This window comes from Homo sapiens, chromosome 2 (genome assembly GCF_000001405.40).
Source record: "Homo sapiens chromosome 2, GRCh38.p14 Primary Assembly".
Lineage (NCBI taxonomy): Eukaryota > Metazoa > Chordata > Mammalia > Primates > Hominidae > Homo > Homo sapiens.
Window position 1 is genome coordinate 201,643,697 of NC_000002.12, and position 14,204 is coordinate 201,657,900.

General features: G+C 39.3%; 1 protein-coding gene and 1 pseudogene across 2 annotated transcripts in view; one reads left to right on the top strand and one right to left on the bottom strand.

The window, feature by feature from the left end:
- The window catches only part of MPP4 (MAGUK p55 scaffold protein 4), a 53,771-nt gene continuing 40,744 nt past the window's right edge, over window positions 1,178-14,204 (bottom strand). For both annotated transcript variants that reach the window (NM_001438024.1, NM_033066.3), the window contains 6 exons: window positions 12,502-12,672; window positions 11,141-11,221; window positions 6,376-6,469; window positions 5,880-5,988; window positions 3,995-4,129; window positions 1,178-1,708 (listed from right to left, as the gene is read on the bottom strand). In NM_001438024.1, coding sequence (NP_001424953.1) covers window positions 1,514-1,708; window positions 3,995-4,129; window positions 5,880-5,988; window positions 6,376-6,469; window positions 11,141-11,221; window positions 12,502-12,672 — 785 coding nt within the window. In that variant the 3' untranslated portion in view covers window positions 1,178-1,513. The remainder of the gene's footprint in view (window positions 1,709-3,994; window positions 4,130-5,879; window positions 5,989-6,375; window positions 6,470-11,140; window positions 11,222-12,501; window positions 12,673-14,204) is intronic.
- On the top strand, window positions 3,020-3,124 carry RNU6-651P (RNA, U6 small nuclear 651, pseudogene; annotated as a pseudogene).

Here is a 14,204-nt window from a genome sequence, read left to right on the forward strand (position 1 = left end):
TGTAAATCAAATTTGGAAAAACTTTTTCTCAACCTTAAAATCAAATCCAACCTCACATAAATATCACTACAAACTACCTGATTTGCATCGTTTGGTTTGGTTGGGTTTGTTTTTTTTTAAAGATAACTTTCACTTTAAGTAACAGAGAACTACAAATATTTTGAATCATGCATTCTGTTTTACAGTTAAGAAAGAAATGGGAAAGATGGAAGAATGGTGTGGATATGGAGAAGAGAATGATGCAGAAGATGAACAGATACAGGGACAGGGAAAGCGCCTGGAAATCTCAAATCTGGGGAAAGAAAGAGAAACAGCACTTTGTAATGGCATCCTAATCTTGTTACCAAACAAACGGGGCTTGTTGCCCTATACGCACAGAAGCCAATATTATGGCGCTGATTTTTTGAGAAAAGTTTTCATTGTGAGTCAGCTAACAAGGAGACAGGAGTATAGCTCTAATCTGTCTCCCTGTGTTGGCTTTAAGACAGTATTTTTATTAGAAAACGTTTAGGGGGTGGATTCTGGGATTAGTAGGTGATTGGTGGAAGGAAAGAAGCCATCTGGAAAATCCTCTGGCGTTCGCAGTTACCTCTTCATGTCCCTTCATGGGTCGCATGTGCAAATTTTGGAGGGAGTCAGTGTGAAACATGGGGAAAGATTCAAGCTGTGACGCCAGCAAGCTCATTTTGTACAGACTCCAGGTAGCCATCCGTGTTAGTACTAACCACTTTCAGCCAGTTTGCTTTGTTTTGTTTTGTTTTGTTTTTTAATCTCACAATGGAAGAAGTTTAGGCGTTTTATTTAGCAAGTTGTTTTTTATCTGCCGTCCTGCATGCTCAAGAATTTCTGTTAGTCCCTGGTTTCTTTAACTCTGAGACACGGTTTCACTCTTGTGATTTTCTATATATAGGTCTCTGGGATTAATCCATTGCCTTTTTCTAATTTAGGCCTGCATGTAGATATTGGCTGTTAAGGAAAATTAGTGTTTGTCACACCTCTCATGAGAATAATTTTTTCCTTGTAGGCCGATTTGTAAATAGTGAAGGCAGTGCAGTTTCTTGTAGGTTTTGATTTTAGATGTGAAATGTGTACATTAAACCTTTCTTGCTGAGTTAGTCAAGTAAGCACTTTTTGTAAAAGATGTTTTCATAAAACACGTTTCATAGAGTACAGTTTCTAAAGTTAACTATTGCTTATTTTATTTAGGAAAGCTCTTTATTTAAATCTTAAAAAGATCATGTGAAATCTGCGAAAGGTTCTCATACTCAGTGACTTAACATTATTCATATTTCTACCACAGCTGCATATGAGGTAAAGGAAAAAAAATTAAGTTAAAATAGGTAACCACATAACCATACAATAAAAATTTTTTTCAAATAAGATTAATTAATAAATTGCTGCACTTTTAAAGTTGTACACATTAAAATGGGTCAAATACTGTTGTTTTAGATTGCAACTATGGATCGCTGTATCAAGGGTACAGTGTTAAAACTCCAGCATTAAACAAGAAGTCTCATTGAGACTCAGTATCTGAGGAAATCCATGTTGCTGGTACCCACTGAGGCTCCTCCTGAGCCTTCTGTATGGCAGACAACAACTGGGCACATGCATCGTGCAAGCTGTCATTCACAATCACATGATCAAAAAATTGGCCAAACTGAGTTTCCATTCTTTGGGCTAAATTTTCCATCTCTTGTAGGTCTTCATCCTTTAGGAGAAATAGAAAAATATGGATAGTACAGACTTAATTGGACAAATGGAAAAAATACAGTTTGTTATGCTGTCACATTCAGTTGTGAAACTATGTATAAAAACAGTAAGGTCCGAAAATTTTGCACAGATGATTTTCAATAAAGTTTCAAAAATATTTTTTCAAAATTCTACAAAACCAGCAAACTAGAAAATAGTAATTTTTTTGCCCTCTGTTATTGAAATAATGTGGCTAAGTATAGATAAAATAATTTTTTTTTTTTTTAGACAGGGTCCCACTCTGTCCCAGGCTGGCATGCAGTAGGATCATCTCAGCTCACTGCAGCCTCTGCCTCCCAGGCTCAAGTGATCCTCCCACCTAGGCCTCCCAAGTAGCTGGGACTATAGGCACATGCCATCATGCCCAGCTAATTTTTGTAGAGAAAATATAATTATTATAACAGGTATAAACATATCCTTCTAAATTAATGTGAAGCATAAGCAAAGCTGGGAAAAGTATATCACTATCCACAGTATGTCATCCTTTATTTCTTAGAAATGTATTACTGAGATAAAGAAATTTTAATTTGGAAGTTTTTTTAAATAATAAAAGACTGAAGTTTTTATTTTAAAAAATGAGGTCCAATAAATGTCTTCTAAACTACAAAACTTATGTTTTAATCTTTAGTCTTAATGTCTCGTCATGTTTTGCAAAATTTAGTCATAGTTTGCAGACAGATTACTCCCCTCAACTTCCCGTGTGAACTTATCTTACTCTTACCTAAACACTTGAAACTTTTTAACCATATACAACATAAAACCAAAGAAAATGTACCAGTTTAAATAAAATTTAAACATAAATTTCAAGTGAACATTAATCTGATAGGGATAACATTAAAGATACAAAATGGCCACTTTCAACATGAGGATGGTATAAGCCAGTTATATTATGTTTCTACTATTGTGAAATGTTCATTTAATGAAGGTAATTTGGCATTCACTTGGCACTAATGCATTAAATTCATTGCTGTTATTTTCTTATTAGTTCATGAAAATAGTACAACTTGTCACCAATACAATCTGAAACACAAATGCAGGCACCAAAATCTTGTGGCTTTACAAAGTGACCATACATATGATCCAGAAACAATTTTGTTAATTTGTTTAGACTGCCATAAAAATGAGAACAATTTTAAATGCCCATAAGACTCAGCAAATACATTCATGGACTCCACTGTTCACAAGGCAAACTGGAAAATCAGACCTCCATAGTCATTGCAAAAAATATGAAAATAAAAATAATAAGAGAAAGGATAATTTAAAGATACCTGTGCTTGCTTTGGTAGCACACAGACTAAAACTGAAACAATGCAGAGATTAGCATGGCCCTTGTACAAGCATGACATACAAATATTTAGTGAATCATTCATATTTTTAGTTTCAATTTTGCCAGGTAAATAAATTCTAGAGCTCTGTTTCACACAATGTGAATATACTTAACACTAAATACTAACACTGAACTGTACACTTAAAACGGTTAATATGGTGAGTTTTATGTATTTTTACCACACATATACACACACACACAAGTGGCTGTAATATCTTGATGTGGGTGATGGTTATCTGGGTGCATACACACATAAAAATTCATTAAACTGTACACTCTGTACACCTTACTGAATGTATGTTATGACACAATATTTAAAGCATATTTAATGTAAAATATATGTACGCAACCGGAAAAAAAATCACCTGTTCTAGGATGAGATCACTGATTAATTTCACTTGGCTTGCCCCCTCTATTATTACCATCATCATTTTACAGATGAGATATACTCACTGAGCATTTTTAAAGTAAGCTTTTAAGTAAAAGATATTCTGTTTAAAATACAAACACCAGGCTCATACATGCCCAATTTCTGTTTGGCTTTGCAAACTACGGCTCAAGGATTTTTTTTTAAGCTAGACCCAAAAAAATAAGAAAGTAAAAAATAAGGGTAGCATCATAACATTTATTAAACTTTATATCTGTAAGTGATGTCCATCCAAAAGGATAAATCGTAAGGGCATTATCCATTAGAAACAAAAATTACATTCTCTAACACAGATCCTGTAGAAACAATACAGTTTTAATTTTTTTTTTAAATAAAACCATAGTAAACCATTTTATTGAGGGCCTTTTGGAGAGGGGGTCAAAAAGGAGGAGGAGGACAATGAGATCAGAGATCCTTGGCCCAGCCCAACCCAGATCTCTCCCACGCAGAAGCCACTGAAAGCAATACAGTAGTTTTTGACTTGCTCTTACCTTGAACTTCATGTCCACATAGTAGTCAGTAATAACCTTGGCATTTTTCCGAGATTGTTTCATACACCTCATATTCGATGGCTTTATAAATATGACATAGGGCTTCAGTTCATGGGTTCGAACCCCTTGAATATCCTACACAGAAAATTTAAATGCACATTTATTTTTTGTTTGTTTTGTTTTGAGACATGGTCTTGCTCTGTCACCCAGGCTGGAGTGCTGTGGTGCAATCACAGTTCACTGTAGCCTCAGCTTCCCAGGCTCAAACGATCCACCCATCTCAGCCTCCCAAGTAGCTGGGACCACAGGCATGTGCCACCATGCCCAGCTATTTTGTTTTGTTTTATTTTGTTTTTGAGTCTCATTCTGTTGCCCAGGCTGGAGCGCAGGGGTGGGATCTCTGCTCACTGCAACTACCGCCTTCCCAGTTCAAGCAATTCTTGTGCCTCAGCCTCTCTAGTAGCTGGGATTATAGGCGTGTGCCACCACACCCAGCTAATTTTTGTATTTTTAGTAGAGATGGGGTTTCACTATGTTGCCCAGACTGGTCTCAAACACCTGGCCTCAAGAAATCCTCCCATCTCGGCTTTCCAAGGGATTATAGGCATGAGCCACTGCACCTGATCTAAATGCACATTTAAAAACAGAAGTCCTAGCTTTCTAGAGTGAACATGAAGCTTCTCAAAATTTCTAAGACCAGAAATTAGCAATTATTTTTAGAGTATAGTCTCATGTACCCTCAACTCCTCAATTCTAAAAAACAAATGAACATTTTAAAAATTTGAAGATGTAGTTTTAGAATCAAAATTAAGGTCAGATCCTGACTCTTATTAGCTATGACTAGCAATTGAAATCTTACTAGCAGAGTAAGAGTCTATACATGAGAGAATCTCATTTACTGAGAGTAGGATTCTATACATGATCTCATATGACAAAGACAAAGACAGACTCTCAAGGTGGATCAGCTCTGTTTCACCTTCACTTCCCTTTCCTCTTGCTATTATCTCACATTGGATACTACTACCATCTGTTTTCCTCTGATTCTCTAGCACACAAAGTATATTTCTAAATGACTAAGAAAACATGGCTGGGCGCAGTAGCTCATGCCTATAATCCCAGCACTTTGGGAGGCTGAGGCAGGTGGATCACTTGAGCCCAGGAGTTCCATTGCCAGACCAGCCTGGCAAACATGGCGAAACCCTGTCTCTACTAAAAATACAAAAATTAACCAGGCATGGTGGCTTGTGCTTGTAGTCCTAGCTACTCGGGAGGCTGAGGCACGAGAATTGCTTGAACCCGGGAAGCGGAGGTTGCAGTGAGCGGAGATCATGCCACTGCGCTCTAGTCTGGATGACAGAGCAGGGCCTTGTCTCAAAAAACAAAACAAACACAGACACACACACAGACACACACACACACACGAAGAAAATACAAAGTTCATAAAAATTGGGCCTACGGATTGCATGCTGTTTATCTTACCTTAACTTGCTCACCCCTGCTCCATTCTACATGTGGTCTCAGGAAGGTAGCCACAGATATGACAACATAGAAACCTCACCTCCTTGTACAAAGCAACATCTTATTCACTCCACAAGAAGTTACTCTGATGCCTTTGTGATCAAGGTTAAAGCAAGAAAGATTCTTGCTTCTCTTTGTGACCACTCAATCAGTTCTGCTTTTCTGTCTGAGAAGCAAGACTTCTTTCCCAACTAAAAGTAAAATGTTGTCAATTGACACGTTAAGTAAGATCTTATATATGGGAAATGGCCTTATTCTTAAAAGGCTAACAGAATAAATGTCTCAACTATAACCTACAGCATGTGCACAAAAAATGGATGATACGCATTCATTGTTTGGGGACATAAATATTCCACCATGGACCCACCTGAGGCTCTAGGTCCATGACACAGATCTTTCCTTCGACAAGGACTGTTTGAACAGCATCCACACTAGTGCCATACAGGTGGCCTTTGTACTCACCATACTCCAGCATCCTGCAAGAGCAGGCCAAACAAAACAGAACACTTTCTACAAGGAAAATATTATTAGTAGTAACATGAGGATAAACTGCACTAGAGTTGAATATAAATATGTGGACTTTATTAACACAGAAAGAATGAATAGATATTCAAGAGGTGAACAAAATGAGCATATCTAGAGTTTATGTATTTCCTCAAGTTCTCCAAGGTTTGCAGACTCCATTCTGCTCCCTTTCTAAACCCAGTGAGTTGGTGTGCTGTATATCGATGTACATTTCTTGCTTAACTCCTCAGAAACAAAAGGAATTACCCAGGAGATTTGGAAAATACATAAAAATAGGGAATCTATTTCAAATGTAAAACAACAAGAGGTAAGAATCAGCTTCTGAACCTCTACTTTACCTGTGACTATATATGAGGTTTTCAAATGTTTCCTTGGACACATAGTGATACTCACGCCCATTCATTTCGTAACTCTTTTTAGTACGAGTAGTGTCTATCAGAAAAAGGGAATGAAAGGTTTCAGTGTCTTCAGAATTCTTTGATTACCAATATGCATTTGAATAAAGATATCTAATCAAAATAAATAAATGAATATATAATCAAGGAGATAAAATGCTAGAACTAAAAAGAAGAAGCCTGAATTGGTGATAAGTTCTCGTATCAAAATCAGTTAGTCTATAAACCTTTACTGAGTGCTTATGGTATGAAAAAGAATGCACTAGGTATTAAGCCAGCATAAGAAAGACCTAAGGGAACACCTGTTATTACTTCAAAATAAGTGCTAGTGAATTATGTGTGAACCTTTAGATGCCTGAAAGCTCCCAGGTAGCAATACCAATAATATCTTACATTTGGATAGTGCATTTCCCATGATCTCATTTCATCTTCCACACTCTTACCTTAGGTAAACTGTTAATATCTATATTTTACTCATAAGAAAAGCTTTTGGAGAAACTTGCTCACATTCATAAGACTGATGAAAAGCGAAGTTGAAATTAGAACCTACGTGTTCTGACTCCTCTAGATGAGTGTTTTTTACAACAATAGATTCTCAAATTTGAAATGGAGAAAGCCCATGACATTCTGCAATCTTGACCAGATGCATTAATACCCAACCGAGTGGTGATTCGTTTTAGGGATCTCTAGGAGGGAAAGATTAGCTGAGTCTAGATTCAGTCTGATTCTTTGATATGGCCACTTTGATTACAGACTCTTCAACTTAAATAGTGCCAGGTTGTATAGAATATAGGAGTTCATCAAATATCTAAAAGTTATTTGTTGTCTGCTCATTCATTTATTCAACTAGTGTGTACTGAGTGCCTACTATGTTCCAGGTATCATGTTAGGTTCTGAAAACACAAAGATGAGTAAGACAGTTTCAACTCTGCATCCTATATACTGTAAAGCTAGTCCCTTAATCTATATTACCATTAGTTCCCCTTATTCATACAGAATTTGTGTATTTGCATCTGACAAAGTTTAAGGATGAAATAGATCAACATCTGATGATATCAATACATGGAAATGATCAAGTAGAAGCTAGAAACCGGCCTTAAATTATCAAAGGAGTTACCAACCTTCAAGGGGGTCTAAAAGCAAATGTCATCTTGGGGTCATTTTTGTTTTTTCCTTATTCAAGCCTCTCATCAGATCCTTAGAGTTCCTACAGTTACATCACATCTCCCATAGCTTCCTACTTAAAACAAAATTCTAGTAAAACCTTATAGCTCTCAGGTGATAGTGAATTATGTCAATCTAAACCCAAGATGACTCCTCCTTTGCTTCCACTGGACTAATATTTATATGGTAGGTTAAAGTCTGTGAATTGATGTATAACTCGAGGTATCCATTTTAAGCTTAAAACCTCAATTTAAAAAGCAAAATATGAGCAGTATTTTCTCACTTTGAATGATTAAAAATCTACGTTGATATTCTTAAAATTCTTCTATATTCTGTGGGCATTTTATTTTTATTCAGACTATCGAAAAATGGTGATTTTGGCCGGGCACAGTGGCTCACGCCTGTAATCCCAGCACTTTGGGAGGCCAAGGCGGGTGGATCACCTGGGGTCAGGAGTACAAGACCAGCCTAGCCAACATGGTGAAACCCCATCTCTACTAAAAATACAAAAATTAGCTAGGCATGGTGACGTACACCTGTAATCCCAACTACTCAGGAGGCTGAGGCAGGAGAATTGCTTGAACCCAGGAGGTGAGGTTGTAGTGAGCCGAGATAACACCACGGCACTCCAGCCTGGGCAATGCAGTGAGACTCCATCTCAAACAAAACAAAACAAACAGAAAAAAAAAAAGAAAGAAAAGGAAAATGTTGATTTCTTTGGTAGTTTTTGCTTTTCAGATTAATGCACATTCCTGTACATGAAAGCAGTACTTCAGAAAGCACAGCCTATAGCATGCGATCATAAAGCAACTTCTTGGTCTCCCACAGCCCTTATGTGAGGCAAGATCTTCCCCAGCCCCTGCACAAAATTCTAGCAGTTTCCTGGCCGGGTGTGGTGGCTCATGCCTATAATTCCAGCACTTTGGGAGGCTGAGGTGGGCAGATCACTTGAGTTCAGGAGTTGGAGAACAGACAGACCAACATGGTGAAACCCCATCTCTACTAAAACTACAAAAATTAGCTGGGCATGGTGGTGGGTGCCTGTAATCTCAGCTACTCGGGAGGCTGAGGCAGGAGAATCACTTGAACTCATGGGGCAGAGGTTCCAGTGAGCCAAGATCACACCACTGCACTCCAGCCTGGGCGACAGAGCAAGACTCCGTCTTAAAACAAAACAAAACAAAACAAAAAACACTAGCGGTTTCCATGACTCTTTCACTCAGGTTTAATTTTAAAAGTCTATCATCACTCATGCCACAATTTCATTTTCATCATCCAGTCTCAACTGACTAATTAAAATTCCATTCTCACATAATCATCAAAATTATAAACTTCACTTAGATTTTAGGCTGCTTCTCCACACATCTGGCTCAAATTTGCTGCACCAGGGAAGCCTGCGCTCAGAGAAGCCAGACGAGAGCCAGACGAGAGTATGAGTCACTTCTCTTTCCTTTCACCATATTTCTACTGCTCCTGCTTCTCTCTGCCCCCGATAGATCTCACTTCCACTGGTTTAGAACTCTCTAAGGCTAGAGTGCAGGGAGGGAGAGGAAAGCAGGAAGGAAGGTTCTGGTTTGGCAAATACTGATTCTGGCTGCTATTGGCTTTCTTTAGATTTGGCAGATCCTTAAATCCGGCTCTTTCTCTCCTAAATGATATATTGGGTTATTTTGCAAACCCTATCTCACCAACACAAGGCCTCTCAAGTCCATTCCTATTCCAGTTTGTCATCTGTGATTCCTTCCAAAGCCTGATATATTTGGGAATCCACTTTTGGCCTTTTTCTCCTCAGGCTTCCTCCTGGGCAGGAATCATATAACCCTGGGCTGACTGTCTTATACATTACCTGCCCAGATCTGGTCCTTGGGGAACATCACAAGTCTAGCTGTGATGGACCCTACAAGGACAGCTACTTCCCAAATTATAGCCATTGGCCACTTCCTGTAAGCTCTTCTCCTTTGGATTTTTCAGGTGTAATTCGGACACCATTCTTCTGTGTCCCCCAAAGTGCAGAAGACACATAGGAAGCTCTCCAAGTGGTTCCCCTAGGTTCCTCTGTCTTGCCTTGAGGGGAGGGGGAAGCAAGCACACCCACACACTCTTCCCACACTCAGTGGGTCGGGAACACCCAGCACCGCTCTCTCCAATAAAAGCCTCCCCAAAAAGCCCCATGAATCTCCCTCCCCAAGCCTTTTATACCCTCGAGGTGTGTGAAGAGTTTAACTTGTTTTCACATTCCTCGTTACAGATGTGCATCTTAGTGCCTCAGTCAAAATTTTAACTTTCTTTTACACATATTAGAAACGATGCATTATTATACATTATTATAAACATGCATTATTATGAACTTTCTATTTTGTTGAAATCAGGAATTCTATCTCAAGTCTTGATCTTTTCTATTTTTACAATAAAACAGGTTGTCTTAGAGTGATTTTAAAGGTTTTTTTTGAACGATGAATCTCAGTATGAAACAAATAATTCCTTCTATTTTTAGAATTGTAGCTCTCAAATGTTAAAGCTTAAAAAAAAACTTCATATAACAACTCTAAATGGGTAAAAAACTCACACAACTCTATATAGAGAAAAGTCTGGAAGATTACGTTTTAGGAGTTGCTTTGGAGCTGGTAGTAGTAAAGGGGGAGCTTAGGAGAAATAAAGGAGTTACGAGTAAAAGGAAATAAGAAAACACTTTTTTTTTTTTCGAGTCAGAATCTCACTTTCTCGCCCAGACTGGAGTGCAATGGTGCAATCTCGGCTCACTGCAACCTCCGCCTCCCAGGTTTAAGCGATTATCTGTCTCAGCCTCCTGAGTAGCTGGGATTACAGGCATGCAGCACCACACCCAGCTAATTTTTGTATTTTAAGTAGAGACGGGGTTTCACCATGTTGGCCAAGCTGGTCTTGAACTCCTGACCTCAGATGATCCACCCACTTCAGCCTCCCAAAATGCTGGGATTACAGGAGTGAGCCACCGTGCCCAGCCAGAAAACACCATTTTTTAAAAAGCTGTGTATTTTATAATCATACTCATAAATTTATATAAAGTTGTATAGGCATATATCAATTTTTAGATAGTAAGCACTGGGTGTATGTTAACTATTATTGCTAACTATTAGTTTGCCTGAAAGGCCATCCCTATAATGTTAAGAAATAGAAAAAAGCCATTTTAGACTGTTGTGGGGTAGGGGGAGTGGGGAGGGATAGCATTAGGAGATATACCTAATGCTAAATGACGAGTTAATCGGTGCAGCACACCAACATGGCATATGTATACATATGTAACAAACCTGCACGTTGTGCACATGTACCCTAAAACTTAAAATATAATAATAATTAAAAAAAGAAAAAAGCCCTTTTAAAAGCCAGCTGCCTACATTCCAATAAGTCAGTTTTCCTTATTAAAATAAATATGGTTAGAAATACTTAAGAACTATCCCTGGTGTTGTATACTTTTACAACAAAGATGGAATGACATAGTTAAATGAGATCAGCAAAGAAAGTTTTACCAAAACACAAACCATTATGAAAGCAGAACTAAACATACGTGGCACAGCACTTTGAAAATGGCTGGGATTAAATTCAATAAGTTGTCTTCTGAGCTCATTTACTCCAACACCAGAGGGTCCTAAACACAAAAAGTCACACACAGAAATCATCAGATGTGGATAAATATAATTATGTGATGGAATTATCATTTTAGTCCTTCTACTGAAGAAACTTGAGAGCAAATATTTTTAGGGAAATTATGTAACTTCCTTTCTCATAAATTGGAAGAACCCCAGAAAACTCTTGGGAATTTTTCTAGTGACCCATGGAGTAATCCACATTGTTTCAACATTCAGGAATGAGGTAAGGAATCACAGGAACCTGACCCCCAGCAAACTTCATCTAATGTTGAATGCCATGAGAATTAGCTGGTCTCATTTTAGAGAATCAGAGAGCTCTGCCTTTCTTCTTCAAATGAGGTTTTTATCAAGTGACAGCCAGAAACCAGCATCAACAATTATAGGTTCTGTGACTTACAGAATTCAGGGGCACATTCCTGACAGATGATCGATCAGCACCCCCATGTCCGGCCGGAGGCAGGGCCGACTTCATGGGTATAGAACCTGTGCAGTTACACAGGGCACATGCTTAGAAGGATACTGTGCTTGGATGAATTCTCTACTATTGCATCTTGAAATCTTTGATAATTTTTTAACAAGGGGCCCTTGCATTTGCATTTTACAATGGGGCCTGCAAATGATATTGCTGGTCCCAGCTGTAAGGCACATCGTTCTGCTCTACAGGGACCTGCCTTGCTCATGAAGCTAAACAGGCAGACACGAAGGCAGTAGGATACAAGTTGCTACTGCTACAGGGACCAACTTTGCAAAAGTCATGGTCACAAAAGCAGGTCACTCCTGCACTATCTTTGCCATGATCTTTATAAAGCACCAAAGATACAGTCCAGAAGATGTTAGATACTTTTCTAAAGGAAGTAGTTACAAATTTCTTAGGGGAATGGACTTTAAGAATTTAACATATTTCTCAGGGAAATGGACCTTAAGAATTTATTTTCAGGATACAGGTTAATGATCTGTCTGGGGAAACACTCATCTATGTTTACAGAACAATTCTAAGCAGGCAAAAAAAAAATCTCAGTCATAATGACATCGTAATACTGGTTATATAGTTCATGGACACCATGTCATAACACATTCACTTGTAGATTTTTTAAAAAGCTTGATACAATAAAATGTTACTTATAAACACACATGTACAATGGCTTTGTTTTTTAAAAAAGGTATTTGTATGGGGGTCCATAAAGAGTTCTACTTTCACCATTATTCCCAATGCAAGACACCTGAATCTAGAAGGAAGACTTCTCAAGGAGGAGGAGAGACAGTGCATGCTGGGACATACCCATGAGCACTATGAGGCGGTACTTGTCTGAAGGGCGTCGCTGGTACCTCACCACCTCCTCGTAAGGGGCACCCACTGCACTGTAGCAGCTGCCGGTGCAGCACACACTGGCATGCAGCGGGCTGAGGTGAGACTTCCTGCGACAAAGGCGCATGCTGCGGCGGAAGCCAGCTAGGGAGGGGAAGTGCACAGAACGTAAGAACCAGGCAGGAGAGATCACTTGTAGCTTCACACCTGATGAAATATGTAGCAACCATGATCCTAAAGTGTTCATTAATATAGTCAGGTCTGTCTGAAGTTAGAAGATGGGAAGTAATATGAGGGAAAAATATGAAAATGCCCCCTGTGCTAGCCCATCTAGCACCTGCTCTGGGCCAGGCATTGTCTTGGGTGCTGGCGATAGATGGCTCAACTAATCCAAGGCCACTTTCTCATGAAATCTACATTTTGTAGAAGAAGAGAGACAAACATAAAAAACAACAAAAAATAAGTACTCATAAGAAGATGAGGTAGATAGAGAGTGATGGGGGTGCTTTTTTAGATAGGCAGTAAGGTTGGAGTATCTCTGAAAGGTTGGCGTTGAGCAGACATCTGGAGGAAGGCAGGGAGCCACATCAGGAAGCCTCTGCAGAGACGGGCAAGCCAGGCCAAGGGAACAGCAAGTGCAGTGGTGCAGAGAAACGAACTGTGCTTGGAGCATTTGAGGAACAGCAAGGAAGCCTGTATAGCTGCAGGGCGGTAAGCAACAGGGAGTATGGAAATAGGGTCAGGGAAGTGGCTGGAGCCAGATCACACAGGGCCTCTGAAAGTGTTGGATTGTTGTGGAAGTGTGATGGGAAGCTGTTGGTAGTGACATGATTTGATTCATGTTTCTGAAAGACTCCTCTGGTTGGTGTAAACCGTAGGGAGAGCAAGTGTGGCCTCAGGAGAGAGCAGTTAGGAAGCTACTGCAGTGGTCTGGGTGGGAGATGAGGGTGGCTTGGGCCAGGGTAGAAAGAGTGGAGCAGGCTCATTTTTCACATTTTTCAGGTGGTTTCACTAAGACACAGACAGGTTAGGTGGTTGCTTAGGACTGTGTGATCAGTGCAAAGTTGGACACATGGGTCATGATTTCTAAGCTCCTAGATTCCTGCTTAATCTGCCTTTCGAATCATAGGGCTTTCTGGTATCTTCAGAGCTGTTTCCAGGTGCTCTCAGTAGACAGAGTTAGCAACTCTATGTGTACATATAAATACACATGCACATTTCGATCTATATTTGTATGTCTATATATTGAAAACCATGAGTTCACACCAGTACATACAATGTCAATCCAACACTACAGGATTCATTCTAGACTTCCCCTTTCCATGTTTGTAACTCCCTTCTCTAACAGTGAGAACCCTGGCCCTTGTTTTTTTTTTGTTTTTTTGTTTTTTTTTGCTTATTGTATCAATCAAGAGCACTTAAATGTGCAAGATAGGGGACAGACAGTGTTGATAGCCTCGCACAAAGTGTCAGAGCCCAAGCTAGATGAGGCGGGCATCTTTGTAAAGCCTGTTGGGTATCAGAGGCCAAGTGATGGCAGCTGCCCTCTTGATTTTACTCTGCCTCTGACAATTGGCACCAGGCTACCATTGTCCCCTGCACAGATGCCTTCTTCACCCTGCTCATGCTCCTTACTCTCCACCTTTGTGTAGCTGCCTACTCTGCTCAGCTCTACC